Genomic DNA, 18,489 nt, shown 5'->3' with positions numbered 1-18,489 from the left:
AGAGGCACTGAAGTCTCAGAAAGCACTTCCTGGCCAGGCGCAGTGGCTCACGCCTGTAATCCCAGCACTTTGGGAGGCCGAGGCAGGTGGATCATTTGAGGTCAGGAGTTCGAGACCATACTGACCAACATGGCGAAACCCCCTCTCTACTAAAAGTACAAAAAAATTAGCTGGGCATGGTGGCATACGCCTGTAGTCCCAGCTACTTGGGAGGCTGAGGCAGGAGAATTGCTTGAACCTGGGAGGCGGAGGTTGCAGTGAGCCAAGATCGCACCACCGCACTCCAGCCTGGGCGACAAAGTGAGACTCTGTCTCAAAAAAAAAGAAAAAAAAGAAAGCACTTCCTGCACATGGGCCTGGGCTGAAACCTGAGGACAAGCAGGCTCATTTGGGCATCTGAAGGGGCGACAGTGTACATGATCCCCAGAGATCCCACAAAGGACCAGCTTGGACACCCTCTCCAGGCTGTTCTACCCAAGTGTATAGGACCCTTTCTTACCTCCAGCAAAACCACTGCCTCCTCTCCATTCTTTGGATGATACTCATGCATCCAGGCCAGGAGCTCCTCGGGCAGAATGGCCAGGAACAGCTCAAGCAACAGCAAGTCTAACATCTGCTCCTTGGTGTGAATCTCAGGCCTTAACCACTCACAGCAGAGCTTCCAGAGCTGGCTCAAGGCCTCACAGGGCCCAGGAGTCTCCTTGTATCAGAACTGTCAGAAACGCTGGCCGAATAACTACTGTTTGTTTGGGCTACTCCTTTTTGGGCTGGATCCCTGCTTCATGGCAAGGCTTTATTTGTTGTTTGTTTCAAAGAGCTGCTTTGTCTCTTCAGGAGCCCATGGAAGGGACACAGTGGGCATTCTAGCTCCAATGGGCTAAGAGGATTGCTGCTGTAAGTGTTATGTTAAAGCACACTCCTAAGGTAACAGAAACTATAGTTCAAAAAATAAAAGTATAAAACAGTTCAAACCTTTTCTCAAATAGAAGGAATGTTTGTCAAGAAACAGCAGTTTTGACAGTCCTGAGAAAATTGTTGGATGCTTTTTCCCAAAAATAACAACAAAACAATGTTGGTAAGGCAAAATGAAGTTTATTCTTGTGGGTGATAAAAAGCACTACCTTGACAGAGTCCTAGTAGCATCTCTGAGGGAGGAAGGCAAAGTCAGGATATTTACAAGATTTGAAAGGTTTGATGCTGATCTTTCTTTTTTTTATTTTTTATTTAATTTATTATTATTATACTTTAAGTTTTAGGGTACATGTGCACAATGTGCAGGGTAGTTACATATGTATACATGTGCGATGCTGGTGCGCTGCACCCACTAACTTGTCATCTAGCATTAGGTATAGCTCCCAATGTTGTCCCTTCCCCCTCCCCCCACCCCACAACAGTCCCCAGAGTGTGATGTTCCCCTTCCTGTGTCCATGTGTTCTCATTGTTCAATTCCCACCTATGAGTGAGAACATGCAGTGTTTGGTTTTTTGTTCTTGCGATAGTTTACTGAAAATGATGATTTCCAATTTCATCCATGTCCCTACAAAGGACATGAACTCATCATTTTTATAGCTGCATAGTATTCCATGGTGTATATGTGCCACATTTTCTTAATCCAGTCTATCATTGTTGGACATTTGGGTTGGTTCCAAGTCTTTGCTATTGTGAATAATGCCGCAATAAACATATGTGTGCATGTGTCTTTACAGCAGCATGATTTATAGTCCTTTGGGTATATACCCAGTAATGGGATCACTGGGTCAAATGGTATTTCTAGTTCTAGATCCCTGAGGAATCGCCACACTGACTTCCACAATGGTTGAACTAGTTTACAGTCCCACCAACAGTGTAAAAGTGTTCCTATTTCTCCACATCCTCTCCAGCACCTGTTGTTTCCTGACTTTTTAATGATTGCCATTCTAACTGGTGTGAGATGGTATCTCATTGTGGTTTTGATTTGCATTTCTCTGATGGCCAGTGATGGTGTGATGCTGATCTTTCAAAGCAGAATTAGGACTGGGCAAGGATGGTGATACAATAATTTAAGATTGATGGACACATTCATTAAGATGAAGGTTTTGAGGTGAGGGTTTCAAAAAGTCTGGATACTAATTATTGAAAGTTGAAGAATTTGATGTTCATTTAAATAGATTTTTTGAGGGGGAAGTTCTTGAAACAAAAATAATTATTTGCAATTTTTATCTCCTACAGCAATAATGTCCTGGAATAGTAAAGTCATGTTGATAAAGACAGTGGAATAGTAGTATCACATTAGCAAAGACAGTTGAATAGTAAAATTATGTTAACATAGGTAGGGGGCTGTGTGCGTAACTGATTTAGGCAGGGCCTATCTGTTACCCAGGATTAACATGGTGGGCAGTGGTGAAGGGCATGGGCTGAGGATTCCAAAAGCCCTGGGCTCGAATGTTGTCACATTCTCTTATGTGTAGTGGCTTAATCTCTAAATTTTTATTCCTTTTCTGCCGTTAAAAACAAGCTTCTAATTTTGTTTGTAACTTTTTATTTTGAACTAATTTTAAACTTACAGAAAATTTCCAAAAAGGTATAGAACAGTCCCTATATCCTTCACCCAGCTTCCTATTATATTAAAATCTTACATAACCATAGCACAATTGCAAGGCCAAAAAATAGTATTGGTACAATGTGATTAAACCACAGACCTGATAATATAGGGTTTTTTTTTTAAGAAAAATTACAAAAAGCATTAGATGCAGTGCCTGGAAAGCATTAGACTCAGTGCCTAGCACTTAGTAAGACCTCAGTAAAGGATTGCAGTTATCTTTATGACCTGGTCATCGAGGGGCTGGCAGGGGAGACCACACCTGGTGCTCAGGGACACTTCTCTGTTTTTTGGCACACAACTTAGGACCACGCAATAAGGCCCTCTACTGCCTTCTCTGTGCTTAGCTTCTGTTACCCAATCGGCATCTTTGAAAGACATCTTCACTTCCTGGGCTCTAAGGATTAATTCAGGGACTTCTGGAGCAGGTTTGGAGAAAGGCTGTTTCAGGAATCATTCAAGATAAAGGACATGGAAGCGGGTTCTACAGGTTGCCTTCCACTAGTTTAGATCTTTGAAAGAATAAGGCAAAATACAGTGTTAACCAACCAGACTACAAACACTTTCCCTGTTTATTCTGTAACATAAACGAAATGGCAGATCATCAGTGGACAACCATAACGAGCCTCGGACTCGGGAAGATCTGGCTATGTTCCTTAAGCCATCAGGGCCTGACAGATCACAAAAAACTTCCAATAGTCGGCGGTCACGTTGGAGAAAAGGGTGGTCCGCATAGACCGACCAGGTCGGCATCTGTGAACCAGAGTCGGACTTCGCAACGTCTGGGGAAACGTCCGGCCCGCGTGGGGGAGCTGGGCTCCGGTTGGCTAGGGCAACCCCGCGGTGCCAGGGCCGGGACACCCACCAGTCTGCCCCGTGCAGTGTCTCGGACGGCGCTTCCAGCGCGGGGCTAAGCAAGGACGGGGCTCCTCCCGCCCGCACCTGGCTGAGCTGGGGGACTCGGGCGGCGGCGTCCTGCTCTCTTCCTGCCAGTCTTACTACCTGGGCTGGGTGGCAGCTCCAGCCCAGCTCTAACTAGCTCCTCTGCGCCCTGCCTGGCCGCTGGCGGAAGTGCGTCTGCGAACCCCTTCCGGCCTTGCGCCCCAGCTTCCAGCGGCTTCAGAGAGGTGTGCAGCGTGTGGGGTCCCCAGTGCGCGCCGCGGAGTCTCCAAATGGGGTCACTTGGGCATGGGGTTTTGTTTCACAACTTGTCTCATCCGAAAGAAAGGGTTTGAGTTCCAGCTTCGCAGCGTTGAGTCCGTCAGTCCTCCCCGCTCAGGTCGGCAGGCGGGAACCTCCCCAGACTTCATTTCTGTCCACCGACCTGGAGTTTCAGTTTTCTCACAAAAGTACACTTTTCCCAATCACTGTAACCATAAATGGCTCAAAATAAAAATGAATTTTTTCTTGACTCTGGAAAACAAATGTAGAAAGAATCAGAATTGTTTCAAACAAAAAGTCATAAAAGATAAATGCAGTCCTCTATTAGGTTAGGCCCATGTTATTAATTCTTGTTCTGCTTGATGTTGGGTTAGTAATCTTCATGAATCCATCAGTTTTTTTTTTTTTAAGAGTTCTGGAAGTTTTTAGCTAGTCCAGTGGTGTGATTTCCAAAGTTATCAGAAACCTGCATTCAAGAGTACTTGGCAGTGTCCTTTCCATGAATTTCCTTTAAGGAAAATAAAATTTTAGACTGTAGCGAATTGTAAATCACTTTTTGAGAAGTAAAGTAAGACAATAATTGTCTGTGGATGGCAAAAGGCTTAGAGTAGCCATGGTTAAACACACAATTAACAAGAAAATCTGGTTATTTCTGTAGCCTACAAAATTTGCCATAATCATAATTATGACTGATAACATATACCAAGACACATCAGAATTTAGGAATATACAATTTCGGAACACATGTTAATAACACATTTATACAAATGTGACTGAAAGTTTTGGGTTTTTTTTTTTTTTGCCTTTTCCCACATCTTCTAATCAACAAAAGTTAAATGCCATTTCTTATTTGACAGTGTTTCCTGTGTGATTTTAACCAAATAAGCCTAATATGTCTCTCTTGGACTATCAGGCATTCCTTATAGAAAATACTTAATTTTAGAATTTGAAATTTGATTTTGGGAATTATGTCAAATATCAAAGTCTTAAAACCTTTGATATCAAAACTAAGATCACAGGTCATAATAATCATTTATTTAGCCAAAGTGATAATTGAAATATTTCAAAAAGCGTAAACCTTTACTCTTTGAAAGAGAGGAGATTCAGTTTTTCAAACAAGAATCTGTCTCTCTCTCTCCTTTTTAAATTTTTAACAGTTTATTCAAAAGATGAACACTAGTCTTATATCTCTTATTAATACTATATTGTTCAAGCAAGAAAATAAAATTCTACTTTGTATCAGTGCATTGTTAATATTAAACCTAATTTTAATAATACCTTATAAACAGATCCATCTATTCTCATCAGCTTTGACCATGCAAGATAAGATTTCCACAAACTTTGTATAACCTTTTACAATTTTTCCTATTCTCTTTCCCCAAATTCCTGCATCCACTCAGTTTATTATTCTTTTTAATCCTTTCACTTTAAAGCAACCATTTTTTAAAAAATTTTACTTTAAATTCCGGGATACAAGTGCAGAACATGTAGGTTTGTTACAAAGATGTGTGTGTGTCACGGTGGTTTGCGGCACCTATCAACTCGTCATCTAGGTTTTAGGCCCGCATGCATTAGCTATTTGTCCAAATGCTATCCCTCCCCTTGCCCCCATCCCCTGACAAGCCCCCATGTGTAATGCTCTCCTCTGTGTCCATGTGTTCTCATTGTTCAACTCCCACTTCTGAGTGAGAACATGCAGTATTTGTTTTTCTGTTCCTGTGTTAGTTTGCTGAAGATGATGGCTTCCAGCTTCATCCATGTCCCTGCATAAAGGACATGATCTCATTTCTTTTCATGGCTGCATAGTATTCCACTGTATCTATGTGCCACATTTTCTTTATCCAGTCTATCATTGATGAGCATTTGGGTTGGTTCCATGTCTTTGCTATTGTAAATAGTGTTGCAATAGACAGATGTGTGCATGTGTCCTTATAGTAGAATGATTTATATTCCTTTGGGTATATACCCAGTAATGGGATTGCTGGGTCAATAAGTATTTCTGGTTCTGGATATTTGAAGAATCACCACACTGTCTTCCACAGCAGTTGAACTAATTTACCTTCCCACGTGTAAAAAGCGTTCCTATTTCTCTACAGCCTCGCCAGCATCTGTTGTTTCTTGACTTTTTAATAATCGCCATTTTGACTGGCATGAAATGCTATCTCATTGTGGTTTTGATTTGCATTTCTCTAATGATTAGTGATGTTGAACCTTTTTGTCTTATGTTTGTTGGCCACATAAATGTCTTCTTTTGAGAAGTGTCTGTTCATATCCTTCGCCCACTTTTTGATGGGGTTGTTTTTTCCTTGTACATTTGTTTAACTTCCTTGTAGATTCTGGATATTAGACCTCTGTCAGATGGGTAGATTGCAGACATTTTCTCCCATTCTGTACGTTGCCTGTTCACGCTGATGATAGTTTCTTTTGCTGTGCAGAAGCTCTTTAGTTTAATTAGATCCCATTTGTCAATTTTGGCTTTCGTTGCAATTGCTTTTGGAGTTTTCATCATGAAGTCTTTGCTCATGCCTATGTCCTGAATGGTATTGCCTAGGTTTTCTTCTAGTGTTTTTATGGTTTTGGGTTTTACACTTAAGTCTTTAATCCATCTTGAGTTAATTTTTGTACAAGGTGTAAGGAAGGGGCCCAGTTTCAGTTTTCTGCATATGGCTAGCCAGTTTTCCCAGCACCATTTATTGAATAGGGAATCCTTTCCCCATTGCTTGTTTTTGTCAGGTTTGTCAAAGATCAGATGGCTGTAGATGTGTGGTGTTGTTTCTGAGGTCTCTGTGTTGTTCCATTGGTCTATATGTCTGTTTTGGTACCAGTACCATGTTGTTTTGGTTACTGTAGCCTTGTAGTATATAGTTTGAAGTCAGGTAGGCATGATACCTCCAGCTTTGTTCTTTTTGCTTAGGATTTTCTTGGTTATATGGGCTCTTTTGTGTTTCCATATTAAATTTAAAGTAGTTTTTTCTAATTCTGTGAAGAATGTCAGTGGTAGTTTGATGGGAATATCATTGAATCTATAAATCACTTTGGGCAGTATGGCCATTTTCACATATTGATTCTTTCTATCTATGAGGAGGAAATTTTTTTTTTCATTTCTTTGTGTCCTCTCTTATTTTCTTGAGCAGTGGTTTATAGTTCTCCTTGAAGAGGTCCTTCACATCCCTTGTCAGCTGTTTTCCTAGGTATTTTATTCTACTTTTAGCAATTGTGAATGGGAATTCATTCATGATTTGGCTCTCTGTCTATTATTGGTGTATAGGAATGCTTGTGATTTTTGCACATTGATTTTGTGTCTTGAGACTTTGCTGAAGTTGCTTATCTGCTTAAGGAGTTTTGGGGCTGAGATGATGGGGTTTTCTAAATATACAATCATGTCAATCTGCAAACAGAGGCAATTTGACTTCCTCTCTTTTTATTTGAATACCATTTATTTCTTTCTCTTGCCTGATTGCTCTGGTCAGAACTTCCAATACTATGTTGAATAGGAGTGGTGGGAGAGGGCATCTTTGTTTTGTGCCAGTTTTCAAAGTGAATGCTTCCAGATTTTGACCATTTAGTATGATATTGGCTGTGAGTTTGTCATAAATAGCTCTTATTATTTGCGATATATTCCATCAATACCTAGTTTATTGAGAGTTTTTAACATGAAGAGATGAATTTTATCAAAGGACTTTTCTGCATCTATTGAGATGATCATGTGCTTTTTGTCATTGGTTCTGTTTATGTGAAGGATTATGTTTATTGATTTACATATGTTGAACCAGCCTTGCATCCTAGAGATGAAGCCAACTTGATCAGAGTGGATAACCTTTTTGATGTGCTGTTGGATCTGGCTTGCCAGTATTTTATTGAGGACTTTTGCATCGATGTTAATTAGGGATGTTTGGGACTTGAACTCAGCTCTGGATCAAGTGGACCTAAGAGACATCTACAGAACTCTCTACCCCAAATTGACAGAATATACATTCTTCTTAGTGCCACATGGCACTTATTCTAAAATCGACCACATAATTGGAAGAAAAACACTCTTTAGCAAATGCAAAAGAACTGAAATAATAACAGTCTCTCAGACCACAGTGCAATCAAATTAGAACTCAGGATTAAGAAACCCACTCAAAACCACACAACTCATGGAAATTGAACAACTTTCTCCTGAATGAGGTCTGCTGTTAGTGTGATGAGCTTCCCTTTGTAGATGACCTGGCCTTTCTCTCTGGCTGCCCTTAACATTTTTTTCCTTTATTTCTACCTTGGAGAATCTGATGATTTTGTGTCTTGGGGTTGATCTTCTCGTCAGGTATCTTAGTGGTGTCCTCTGTATTTCCTGAATTTGAATGTTGGCCTGTCTTGCTAGGTTGGGGAAGTTCTCCTGGATGATATCCTGAAGTGTGTTTTCCAACTTGGTTCCAATCTTCCTATCATTTTCAGATACTCCAATCAATCGTAGGTTTGATCTTTTTACATAGTCCCATATTTCTCGGAGGTTTTGTTCATTCCTTTTCATTATTTTTCTCTAATCTTGTCTGCATGCCTTATTTCAGCAAGAGAGTCTTCAAACTTTGATATCCTTTCTTCTGCTTGTTGATTTGGCTATTGATACTTGCGTATGCTTCACAAACTTCTCATGCTGTGAGCTCCGTCAGGTCATTTATGTTTCCGTCTAAATTGGTTATTCCAGTTAGCAGCACCTGTATATTTTTATCATGTTCTTACCTTCTTTGCATTGGGTTAGAACATGCTCCTTTAGCTCAGCAGAGTTTGTTATTAGCCACCTTCTGAAGCCAACTTCTGTCAATTTGTCCATCTCATCCTCTGTCCAGTTCTGTGCCCTTACTGGAGAGGCACTGCAATCATTTGGAAGAGAAGAGGCACTCTGGCCTTTTGGGTTTTCAGCATTTTTTCATTGATTCTTTCTCATCCTCATGAATTTGTCTAGTATCGACCTTTGAGGCTGCTGACCCTTGGATGGGATTTTGTGGGGAGTTTTCTTTTTGTTGTTGATGCTGTTGTTGTTGCTTTCTATTTGTTTTTCTTGCAATGGTCAGGTCCCTGTTCTGTAGGGCTGCTGCAGTTTGCTGGGGGTTCACTTCAGGCCCTATTCGCCTGGTTCACTGCAGCTCACAGTGAGACCAACAGAGAAGGTGAGTGATTTCTGCCTTTCCAACTGAGGTACCTGGTTCATCTCATTGGGTCTGGTTAGACAGTGGGTGCAGCCCACAGAGGGTGAGATGTTACTCAAGGAGGCTGGAGAGCACAAGATAGGTGTCTGCTCCTTCCTCTGGGATCTCTGACCTCAAGGAGCACCGAACTGATACCAATAGGAACACTCCTGTATAGGGTGTCTGACTACCCCTCTTGCAGGGTCTTACCCAGTTGGGTGGCACAGGGAACAGGACCCATTAAACGAAGCACTTTGACTGTCTCTTGGTGGAGGGGGTGAGCTTCTCTGTGGGGAAGCCCACTTGTTTGGTCTGCCTGGATTCTTCAGAACTAGCAGGAGGAAAGTCTACATCTTCTGGTCTGTGGAGACTTCAGCCACCCCTCCCCGTAGGGGCTCAGGCCAGCAAGTGATCCTATTGTCTTGGCCTCCCAAAGTGCCGGGATTACAGGTGTAAGCCATTGTGCTGATCCCGAGTAAGCAATTTAAGCAATTTTCATTGTTATGTACCAGATGCAGAGTCCAAGACAAAAGATAGATTTGTGAAGATACTGTCTGGTGAAACTAACCCTTCCTAGCATGTCCAGGAGATACAGCTGGGCCAGGGAGAATATATTTGTTTGGCACTTCCCTGCAGCTATTGGCCCAAGTGCTGTCATCATACATATATTCCCAGGCCTTATCATGGCCACCTGTCTAGATCCCAGAATTTAATGGCTCTAAGACAGATGCTCACAGACAAATTGAGCAAGTATTGAAGAATATCACAGAATGAACAGTTTTATGACTTAAAACATCTAGTAGAGATAAGCCTAAACCTGTCTGACCAGCAGACCCAAGCAAAACGTCTGAATTATATTTAATACTGATAATTCTGAAGACATTTTTACTTTACCAACAATGTTTTTCCTAGAGATACCAGCACAAAAGAAAATTTACCAACAACGTTAAAACTAGTTTTATTTACTGAAGGTTACTAAAGTCCCATGAACCTGAAAAAATTTGGGCTTATTAATTTATGAGTGCTCAGTTATTTATAAGTCAAGTTGGTACCATGTAGATAATATACAAACAGATAGGTATACAGGAATACATAAAAATAGAGACAAAGACTTTTATAGCTTTTTAAAAAATTATTATTTTATTTTTATGTTTTTTGTTTTTTTGAGATGGAGTCTCCCTCTGTTGCCCAGGCTGGAGTGCAGTGGCGCGATCTCAGCTCACTGCAAGCTCCGCCTCCTGGGTTCACACCATTCTCCTGCCTCAGCCTCCTGCGTAGCTGGGACTACAGGCGCCCGCCACCACACCCCGCTAATTTGTTTGTATTTTTAGTAGAGATGGGGTTTCACCGTGTTAGCCAGGATGGTCTCGATCTCCTGACCTCGTGATCTGCCCCGTCGGCCTCCCAAAATGCTGGGATTACAGGCGTGAGCCACCACACCCGGCCTACTCCAGTTTTTCAGACCCTGCCATTGACAGATTTCTGACTTAAAAGCAAGTTCTGGTTCCAGCAGAAAGCATGATCTCTCCAGGGTGTCAGTGTCCCAGCTTACTCAAATACTTTCCTCGTACTCATTTTCAGTCTCGCTGAACTGCGATGCATTGTTGACCCACCAGAATTCCATGCTCATGGAGGATCACAAATGTCATACATGAATGGAGCAGCAAGAAACCACAGATAACACGTATTGCATGGAGAGCCTCTGCTCATGTGCATGCTCTATTTTTCTGCTTACCTCACTTACAAAACACAAGTTCAAAGGTAAAATTAAGAGTTTCAAGACTGTGACAACATAGCACTAAACTGTGCTCAGGGCCCTCTAAACATAGTACCCTTGTGAATACTGGGCCCTGTGGCCTGTGTGACTGCATAGGTCACACATCTTTGAGGCCAGGCGTGCAGATCTAGCAGACTCAATGGGGAACCTGACAAGGAGGACAATTGCAGAGAAGCCTTTAAACATACGAGTGGTAATTGTGGGGATAATTTTGCCTGGAACTTATAATTATAGTGAGTGGGAAAATCTTATAATTATAGTGAATGGGAAAATCTTTATTTAGTGTTTCCAACTTAACTGGGTATCAGATAACTCATTCTTGGGAGAAACTTTATCATTCTAGTAAGTGTAATTACTCAACACTCTCATCCTGAAAATCTACGTCGAAGTGAGGTCCTATAAATGTAAAGAATGTGGGAAAGCTTAATGTGGGAAAGCTTTAAATGAAAGTGCCGGGCTTATTCAGTACCAGAGACTTCACACAGTCGAGAAACTATGAATGCAATGAATGTAAGAGAAGTTTTCAGGTGAGCTCAGCTCTGATAAGGCATCAAACTTCCATGTAGATAAGAAACCCTAATAATGGAATAAATATAGGGGCCAATTTTGCTAAGAATTCAGGCCTTTCTCAATGGATAATGCATTTTGGGAAAGGATGCTATCAGAAGGAGCACAAAGAAAGCTCCAAGGTCATTTCCTTCTTACATGGCACATTCTTCCTGACTTGATGGTCCTCATATGGAGGTGATCCTTCAAAATATCTTGTAAGGTGAAAAGACTTTCCCTCTACCCTCTGAGGATTTGATAACTGAGTCTATGACAGAAGCTGACAACAGGCAGATTAACATGAGAAAAGATATACAATTTTATTATGTGCATGAGGGCAGTACAGAAAAGAAAGCATACACCTAAACAACCAGTGAGATTCAGGAGTTTACATCTCTACTTCACAGGGGAGAGGAGGTGAGATATAGGCAATTTAGGGGAGAAATAATTTTTGGGAAAGATTATTGGGTCCTCAGAAGAAGAGATAATAGTTTTTGAAGAAGTTTGTCTAGGTGTGGTGTCAACTTCTAGCCTCTTCTCCTGTGATAGAGTTAATCTTCCCCGGTTGATGAAATTCCCAGGGAGGGGATTGATGACAACTGAGCTCCTTTTAGAGGATCTGTCTTTAGGCAGATAGGGGGAGTTCAGAGAAAGCTTCTCCTTACATTTGTTGTTTTTCAAGTGCCTTTGGCTAGAATTAACCCATATACCAAATTGGCATATTTTGGAGTGGCATTTCCTGAATTCCTTCAGTCTTCTAGCTAAACACTCATAAGTCTTCTTTGCAGTGCACTAGACACTTATAATGTAAGGGTTTATGTATTGTCTTTGTATGAATAGCTGTAGCTTTGGAGATTATTGCTTCTTTACCTCATAACCTTGTAACTGTTGACAAGTTATTTGACTTCCTTATACCCAGAATATTCTTCAATAAGATGAGGGTAATATCTGCCCTACTATCTGCCAAGGATATCTGAGGATAAAAGAAGGTAATACATGGAAAGCATTTTGAATATAGCATTCTTGTGCTGGCATAAGAAAGTTGTAGTATAGGTGGGTATTGGCTCTGCCAAATCAAAATGTTAGAACAAAAAGAGTGTATGACATATCAGTAAAGAAGTAAACAAGAATAAAATACATGCTAAAATGTCATGAATTTCACTTAAGCAACATATTACAAATGTGTTTCTAGGCTATGGACCAAAATCTTTTCCCAGGGTTTATATTATAAAAGGTTTTTTATTTTCTTTATAAAATGTACACACTCAGAAGACAAACTTGACGGTGTTTCTAACCAAATATTTTTTCTTGAAAAAATGTGGAATGTCAGTGCTTTCAGATGGGAAAGATGGGATTAAAATATAATATTTTAAGATTTCTACAAAATTTTAGGAAATGATGTGGATACATAAAAAGTTATGTTTGAGAGTTAGTGTATTAGTTCATTCTCACATTTCTATAAAGAAATACTTGAGACTGGGTAATTTATAAAGAAAAGAGGTTTACTTGGCTCATGGTTCTGTAGGCTGTACAGGAAGCATGATGCTGGTATCTGCTTGGCTTCTGAGGAGGCCTCAGAAAACTTACAATTATGGCAGAAGGCAGAGGGAGAGCAGGATTCTTACATGGCAGGAGCAAGAGCAAGAGAGAGAAGGGAGAGATGCCACACACTTGTAAACAACGAGATCACACAAGAATTCAGTATCAGGAGAACAGTACCAAGAAGGTGGTGCTAAACCATTCATGAAGGATCCACTTCCATGATCCAGTCACCTCCCACCAGGCCCTATCTCCAATATTGGGGATTACAATTCAACATGAGATTTGAGTGGAGACACATATCTGAACTATATCAGTAAGTAACCTTGGGTTGAAATGAAAAGAATAAAGAGGAATTATTTCTAAATTCAAATTTGTTATACAGTATGAATTTAAAATTTGGCTTAGTATCTGTAATAGTGGATGACTAAAGAATTTTTATTATATTGTATTATGAACCTTCATAATTTGCCTTTTCCAATGCTTCTGAGAAGTGGGTTCCTTTATAGGAGCTACATATCAGAGAGCTATCTTGGCCTACATTTCACTGCTGGAGACACATTATTTAGAGCCAGAGCTGGAAATGAAAAATAATTCCTTAACTCCCCTAAACTGGTGCTGACTGGGAGGAAACTAAGGGGTAAGAGTTTCCAACTAGACTCATTTGGAAGATGCGGAGCCAGAATAAAGAAAAGGAAAACTAGGCTAGTTAAGTCTGCGTCTTGAATCATAAAGATCTCCGTATCTCAAGGGTATAATCTCAGTAACTAAAGTTTCCCCAAATTAAGGAAAAAAATATAGTACAGAGTAATACTTAGGGATTTTCTAGGATATAGCCACTGTGAATGGAGTATGCATCTTATATTTGTAAAATTTTTCATGAATTCTATTCCTAAGTGTATGTTTCACTTTGAATAAAATACTAAATTGGGTTACTTGTACTTTTGGGAGCCCACAATGGTTTTCTGTGAAAAAATGGCCCTTAGAAAATGTAAATGGTTCTTCACTAGTACTAAACTTCTGTCCTTTTCTTTAAGCAAGCAAGCTATGTCCCATGCAGATAACTGTCTTCCCTGTTTGTGATATCTGTAAGAATATATTCCTTGTAGGCAAGGAATAAGATAGCTGGTAAATGGAAGGAGACCTCTCATGCACATTATTGCCACAGAATTGGGACATGAAGTGGTGTTAAGTTGGGCTGCCATAACAAAATACTATACTGGTGGTTTAAATAAGAGAAATTTATTTTCTCACAGTTCTGGAGGTTGAGATCAGGGTACTAACATGGTTGGTTTCTGGTGAGGGCTCTCCTTCTGGCTTTCAGATGATCACCTTTTTGCTGTTGTGCTCACAAGACCTTACCTTCACGGGCACATAGGAGAAATATCAAGCTCTCTGGTGACTGCTTTTAAAAGGGCATTAATCCTATCATACAGGGCCCTGCCCTCAAGAACTAATTACCTCTCAAAGGCCCCATCTATAATACCAACTCATGGGAGGTTAGGGCTTCAATGTATAAATTGTTTAGGGGTTGTTGGTGGGACCACAAACATTCAGTCCATACCACTGAGCAAAGGAAGAGACAGAATAAAGGAACAATCAAGAAGAGAGTTGTGTTGAGCAATGGGAGTAAAAATGAGTGTTAAAAGTAGAGGAGGATGAAAGTGAGTGGAAGGTCTGAAGATAGCATGCGGAAAGTGACAGGTAAGAGAAAAATAATTTGTTTCTATTGAGAGTCAGGACAAATTCAAGCATACTGAAGCTGGAAGTAATGGGTCCAATGAGGAAGTAATACTGAAGATGACTGACCTAAGGGATATTTTAGAATTATGTGTAATGTTTGAATTAAAGACAACAGGGACTAAAGAATAAAAATGTTTAGATGAGTCTAAAACATCAGGTCAATGATGTAGCTTCTATTAAAAGGGAACAGAAAAGAGGGTACAAAATGGATTTAGGTGATCCAGGGGATTCAGAAAAGGTAATTTTAAGACAAAAAAGTAAATTCTACTTTACAGAGAAAGCACTAAGTGTGTAGTAGAGGTTGGGCTATGAAATTATATATTATGAAAATATTACAAAAAAGTAAAGGTATTTTTTTAATGACAGTGGCCTAGAATAGCTTTTTAAAGGAAATTACGGAAGCTGGTGTACAACTTCCTGCTGAGGCTGATATGAGGGAGGACAGCATTACGCCATTCTGCATCAGGTCTTGTTGGTGCCACATAAGCTGGAATGTAGTACTTCAGGAGATGGACCTTCCATCTGATTCAGCATGGTGGATTATGTCTGAGATGCTCCTGATGCTGTTCAGCCTGGGTAGCTGGCAGAGCTTTCAACCACTCCCTTTCTCTCGAGATGGACTGTGATGCTCACCTTGCTCATGAATGGCCTGGAATTCTGGATATTCCCATTTAAGCTGTCTTTTCATTGGCTGGAAAGGAATAGTTGGTGGCTCCTGTGCTGCTTGATGATGATATTCTGAGTGCAGTCCCATTCCATATGCACTGGCTGCAACTTGGGAACAATTAGATATGGCTGGGCTTGTGAAAGACTCAATGATGGAACCACAGTTACTATCTTTAAAAGACATCTTAGAGAACACATCTCAGGGCATAGAATAGAGAAAGAATGCTGACACAGTCTTCTTCCACCCTTAAGAAGTAAGGAGCTAACCAGAAAGGATGAGAGTACGAAACATAGAGACTTACATATCAAGCGGGAGGGAGTGGAGATTGAGCTCTGCAACCTTGCTTCCCTGGATGTATGGCTGCTTCTTTCTCTGGCTAGGGTGTTCATGTGCCTTTTAATCACACCCGATATTCTGTTTCATCAAGCTCTCTTTCCAAATCCTCCGATATGATCACCATTTCCTCTCTGTTCTCCGGCTGATGCTCTAACATCCGGGCTTGGAGCTCCTCTGGCAGGATAGTCAAGAACTGCTCCAGCACCAGCAATTCCAGGATCTGTTCTTTGGTGTGGGTCTCTGGCCTCAGCCACTGATGGCAAAGTTCCCAGAATCAGCTCACAGCCTTACAGGGTCCAGGTGTCTCCTGGTAGCAGAAATGCCTAACGTTCTGATGAGCTACCTCCCGGTTGCTGGAGTTCTTCCATATGAAGTAGCCCATATTCTTGGCCCCAAGTGTAGTCCTCTGCTTTAACTGTCAGGCGACTTTTTTATTCCCTTTGAGATTTAATAGTCAAGGCTGCAGCTGTTATGGGCTGTAACATTTCACGTAAAGTCTTCTTTTGCAGGTTGGGGTATATGGAAGTCTGCTTTAAGGAGGCTGTCCTTGAGCAAGTTTCTTTTGGGTCACTCCTAAGGCAAAATAAATCATTACTAACTCGCAGAAATGAAAAGGTTGCTAAGAACTTTTTTTTTTAAGATTAAAGACGTCTAGTTATCTTGAAATTCATTGATTCAAACCACCAATTCAAAAGGAAAATGAACAATTCGGGTGAATTTTATCATGTGCGACAGAAAGCACAAACTAGGTAAGACAGACATACAATTTATAATATGATTTGAAAATTTCAGATACGAGGATGAAATCACTTTTGTCAGACCCAGATAAAATACGGCGGGGATGGCATGAAGGAGAGGAGGTTCATGCTTACATGTTTGAGATAAGAACTGTTTCCAAGGACTTTCTAAACACCGCATAAGAAACCATTTCATTTCCTCCATGCATCTCCTGCTTTGACAAGGTTTATCAGTAGACATTCTTTATAGCACTGCTGTAATTCAGACACGATGTTCTGGAAAGAACACTTGCATAATTATGGCATCTCCACCAATGAACTGACAACTCCAGCTTTGAGCCTCTGAAACCAATGAACACGGTCTCTAAGCAGCTTATGTGAACCTCTCTTTTTGTTAATAAAAACTTGCCTTTACCCTTCCCTCGTTGAATGCGTTAGTAGCTTGCCATTCTGTGCATTCTAGGTTATAATCTTCATTTCTCATTTGCGAGTAAACTTTTTTTAAGTTTAACAATAGAAACAATGTGACGCTTGACTACAAATATTATAAAATTAAGACACCAAAGCAAGCATGCTAATGTGTCTCACTACAAATACATCTACAGATAACACTTCTGATCATTAGAAAATGATCCAATTGTGTTTAGAGGTTCAATGACAGCATAAACAGATTTAAGTGTGACTATACACCTCATTTCTCCCACAGGGCTCCTCTGCTAATGCTTCTGGGAGACACCTTCATACGGCCAGCGCCAGGAGGCGAGAGGAGAGGAAAGGAAGTCTTCTCTTCACGCCCTCCTGGGGCCCGTCTTGGCGTTGTGTGTGGTGGAGGGGGACGAATCTGGGGTCCGCAGTCGCAGCCTCCTCTTGCTGCTGCCGCCTTCATCCCCGAAATCCTGCTCCTAACCATCAATAGGAACCCTGAAAAAAGTCAGAGGTGTGAAGTGCACACATAACCCTGGGCCACAAACTCGGTCCCGGACGCCACAGGACAATCGCTCACCAGGACCACACATCCTGGCCGGAAGATGGGCGGGTACCGCGGCTCCCGATGCTTCCGGCTCCTCTAGGAAGAGGCTCTGGGTGGTGGCCTCACGCGCCCCCTCCGGGGAGGGAGCCGCCGCGGGGTTTGAGGGCGCAGTAGGCTCCCGTCCTAGCGGGTCGCAGCTCCTTACAAGATTTTGAAATGTTGGTGGATTAATCTTCTAGAAGGGTGCTAGGTCTCCCCGTTTCCCCCGCCACCAACTTTAGAGTTGTGGTGTACAAGCGCTATCTTTTCTGATGTTATATCCCATAGGAATATTTTCAGTGACATAATCAAGTTTAAGCATTAAGAACTAGGGCCCTGGAATAAAATGTGCGTTAAAATCCTGGTTCTACCACTTACTATGTGATCTTTAGCAAGATAGTTAACTTCACTACAGCTCAATTTTCTCATCTATAAAATGTGAAAAATAATAGTTACAAAATGAGATAGGACATACTAGCACACTACCTGTAAAAAACTGTGGGCTCAACATTACCTTAAAAAACAATCCAAATATTGTGTTACTTAGATCCCGTCAGGACATTTTTAAAGTCATTGAAAATAAATGCTAAGCTATTTCTTATAAAGCCTCTTAGTGGGAGATTTTGTACATTTCACATTAGATTATCATACATCTAACATCAAGGTCCTGTTTACATTTTATAATGTAAAAGCCTTACATACTGTGGAATGTTTAAGACTTAAATCATTCCTCCCTACCCTCTTTCATATACTATCGCTCTATACTCTCTTCTCAGTCTTTTTTGTAGAGAGCAGCCAGCAACAACGAAATAACATTTCAGGACCATTATTTCCAGTACTAACTTCCTCAGTAATCTTCCACAATTGCCACGGGCCGGAGAATCCTGTCAGTTTCTGTTACTGTCAGTTTCTGTTAGGAGAACTCCTTATAGTCCCTATCAACTTACCCCAGAAAGGTGCCAAAAACCAGTAAAAGCCTGGTTATCCTGTGTCTATCCTCCAACTTCTGAGGTTTAGTTCAATTTGAACACCTTTTCTCACTCCTAACCCAATTTTTCCTTAATTCAATTCTATTCTCTTACTGTCTTACTTAAATGTCTGGATTCTGGCCTCTTCCCTGGGGTGTTCTTCTGGTTTTTTACTTCCTGGTATGACCTCTGGACACAGATTTTGGCCTCATATAGGAATGCCACCATTACATATGTCCTCATTTGACATTACTCTCTAA

General features: G+C 40.9%; 2 pseudogenes across 1 annotated transcript, besides 1 other annotated feature; one reads left to right on the top strand and one right to left on the bottom strand.

The window, feature by feature from the left end:
• Positions 2,709 to 2,848: an enhancer, noted in NCBI's record as "active region_24343". NCBI's record gives its function as "activates an Ori minimal core promoter by ATAC-STARR-seq in GM12878 lymphoblastoid cells {active_cell/tissue: GM12878}" and the evidence as "EXISTENCE:reporter gene assay evidence [ECO:0000049][PMID:35858748]".
• Positions 11,058 to 11,316, top strand: ZNF601P (zinc finger protein 601, pseudogene; annotated as a pseudogene).
• ZSCAN12P1 (zinc finger and SCAN domain containing 12 pseudogene 1) lies at positions 12,712 to 17,620 on the bottom strand (annotated as a pseudogene). Its single transcript, NR_024063.2, has 2 exons — positions 16,943 to 17,620; positions 12,712 to 16,088 (listed from the first exon to the last, which is right to left on the bottom strand). The product of NR_024063.2 is annotated as a zinc finger and SCAN domain containing 12 pseudogene 1 (transcript).
• Between the last annotated feature and the right edge of the window lie 869 nt (positions 17,621 to 18,489).

The sequence above is a fragment of the Homo sapiens genome, chromosome 6 (assembly GCF_000001405.40).
Source record: "Homo sapiens chromosome 6, GRCh38.p14 Primary Assembly".
Lineage (NCBI taxonomy): Eukaryota > Metazoa > Chordata > Mammalia > Primates > Hominidae > Homo > Homo sapiens.
This window is presented reverse-complemented; position numbering and strand designations above follow the sequence as displayed.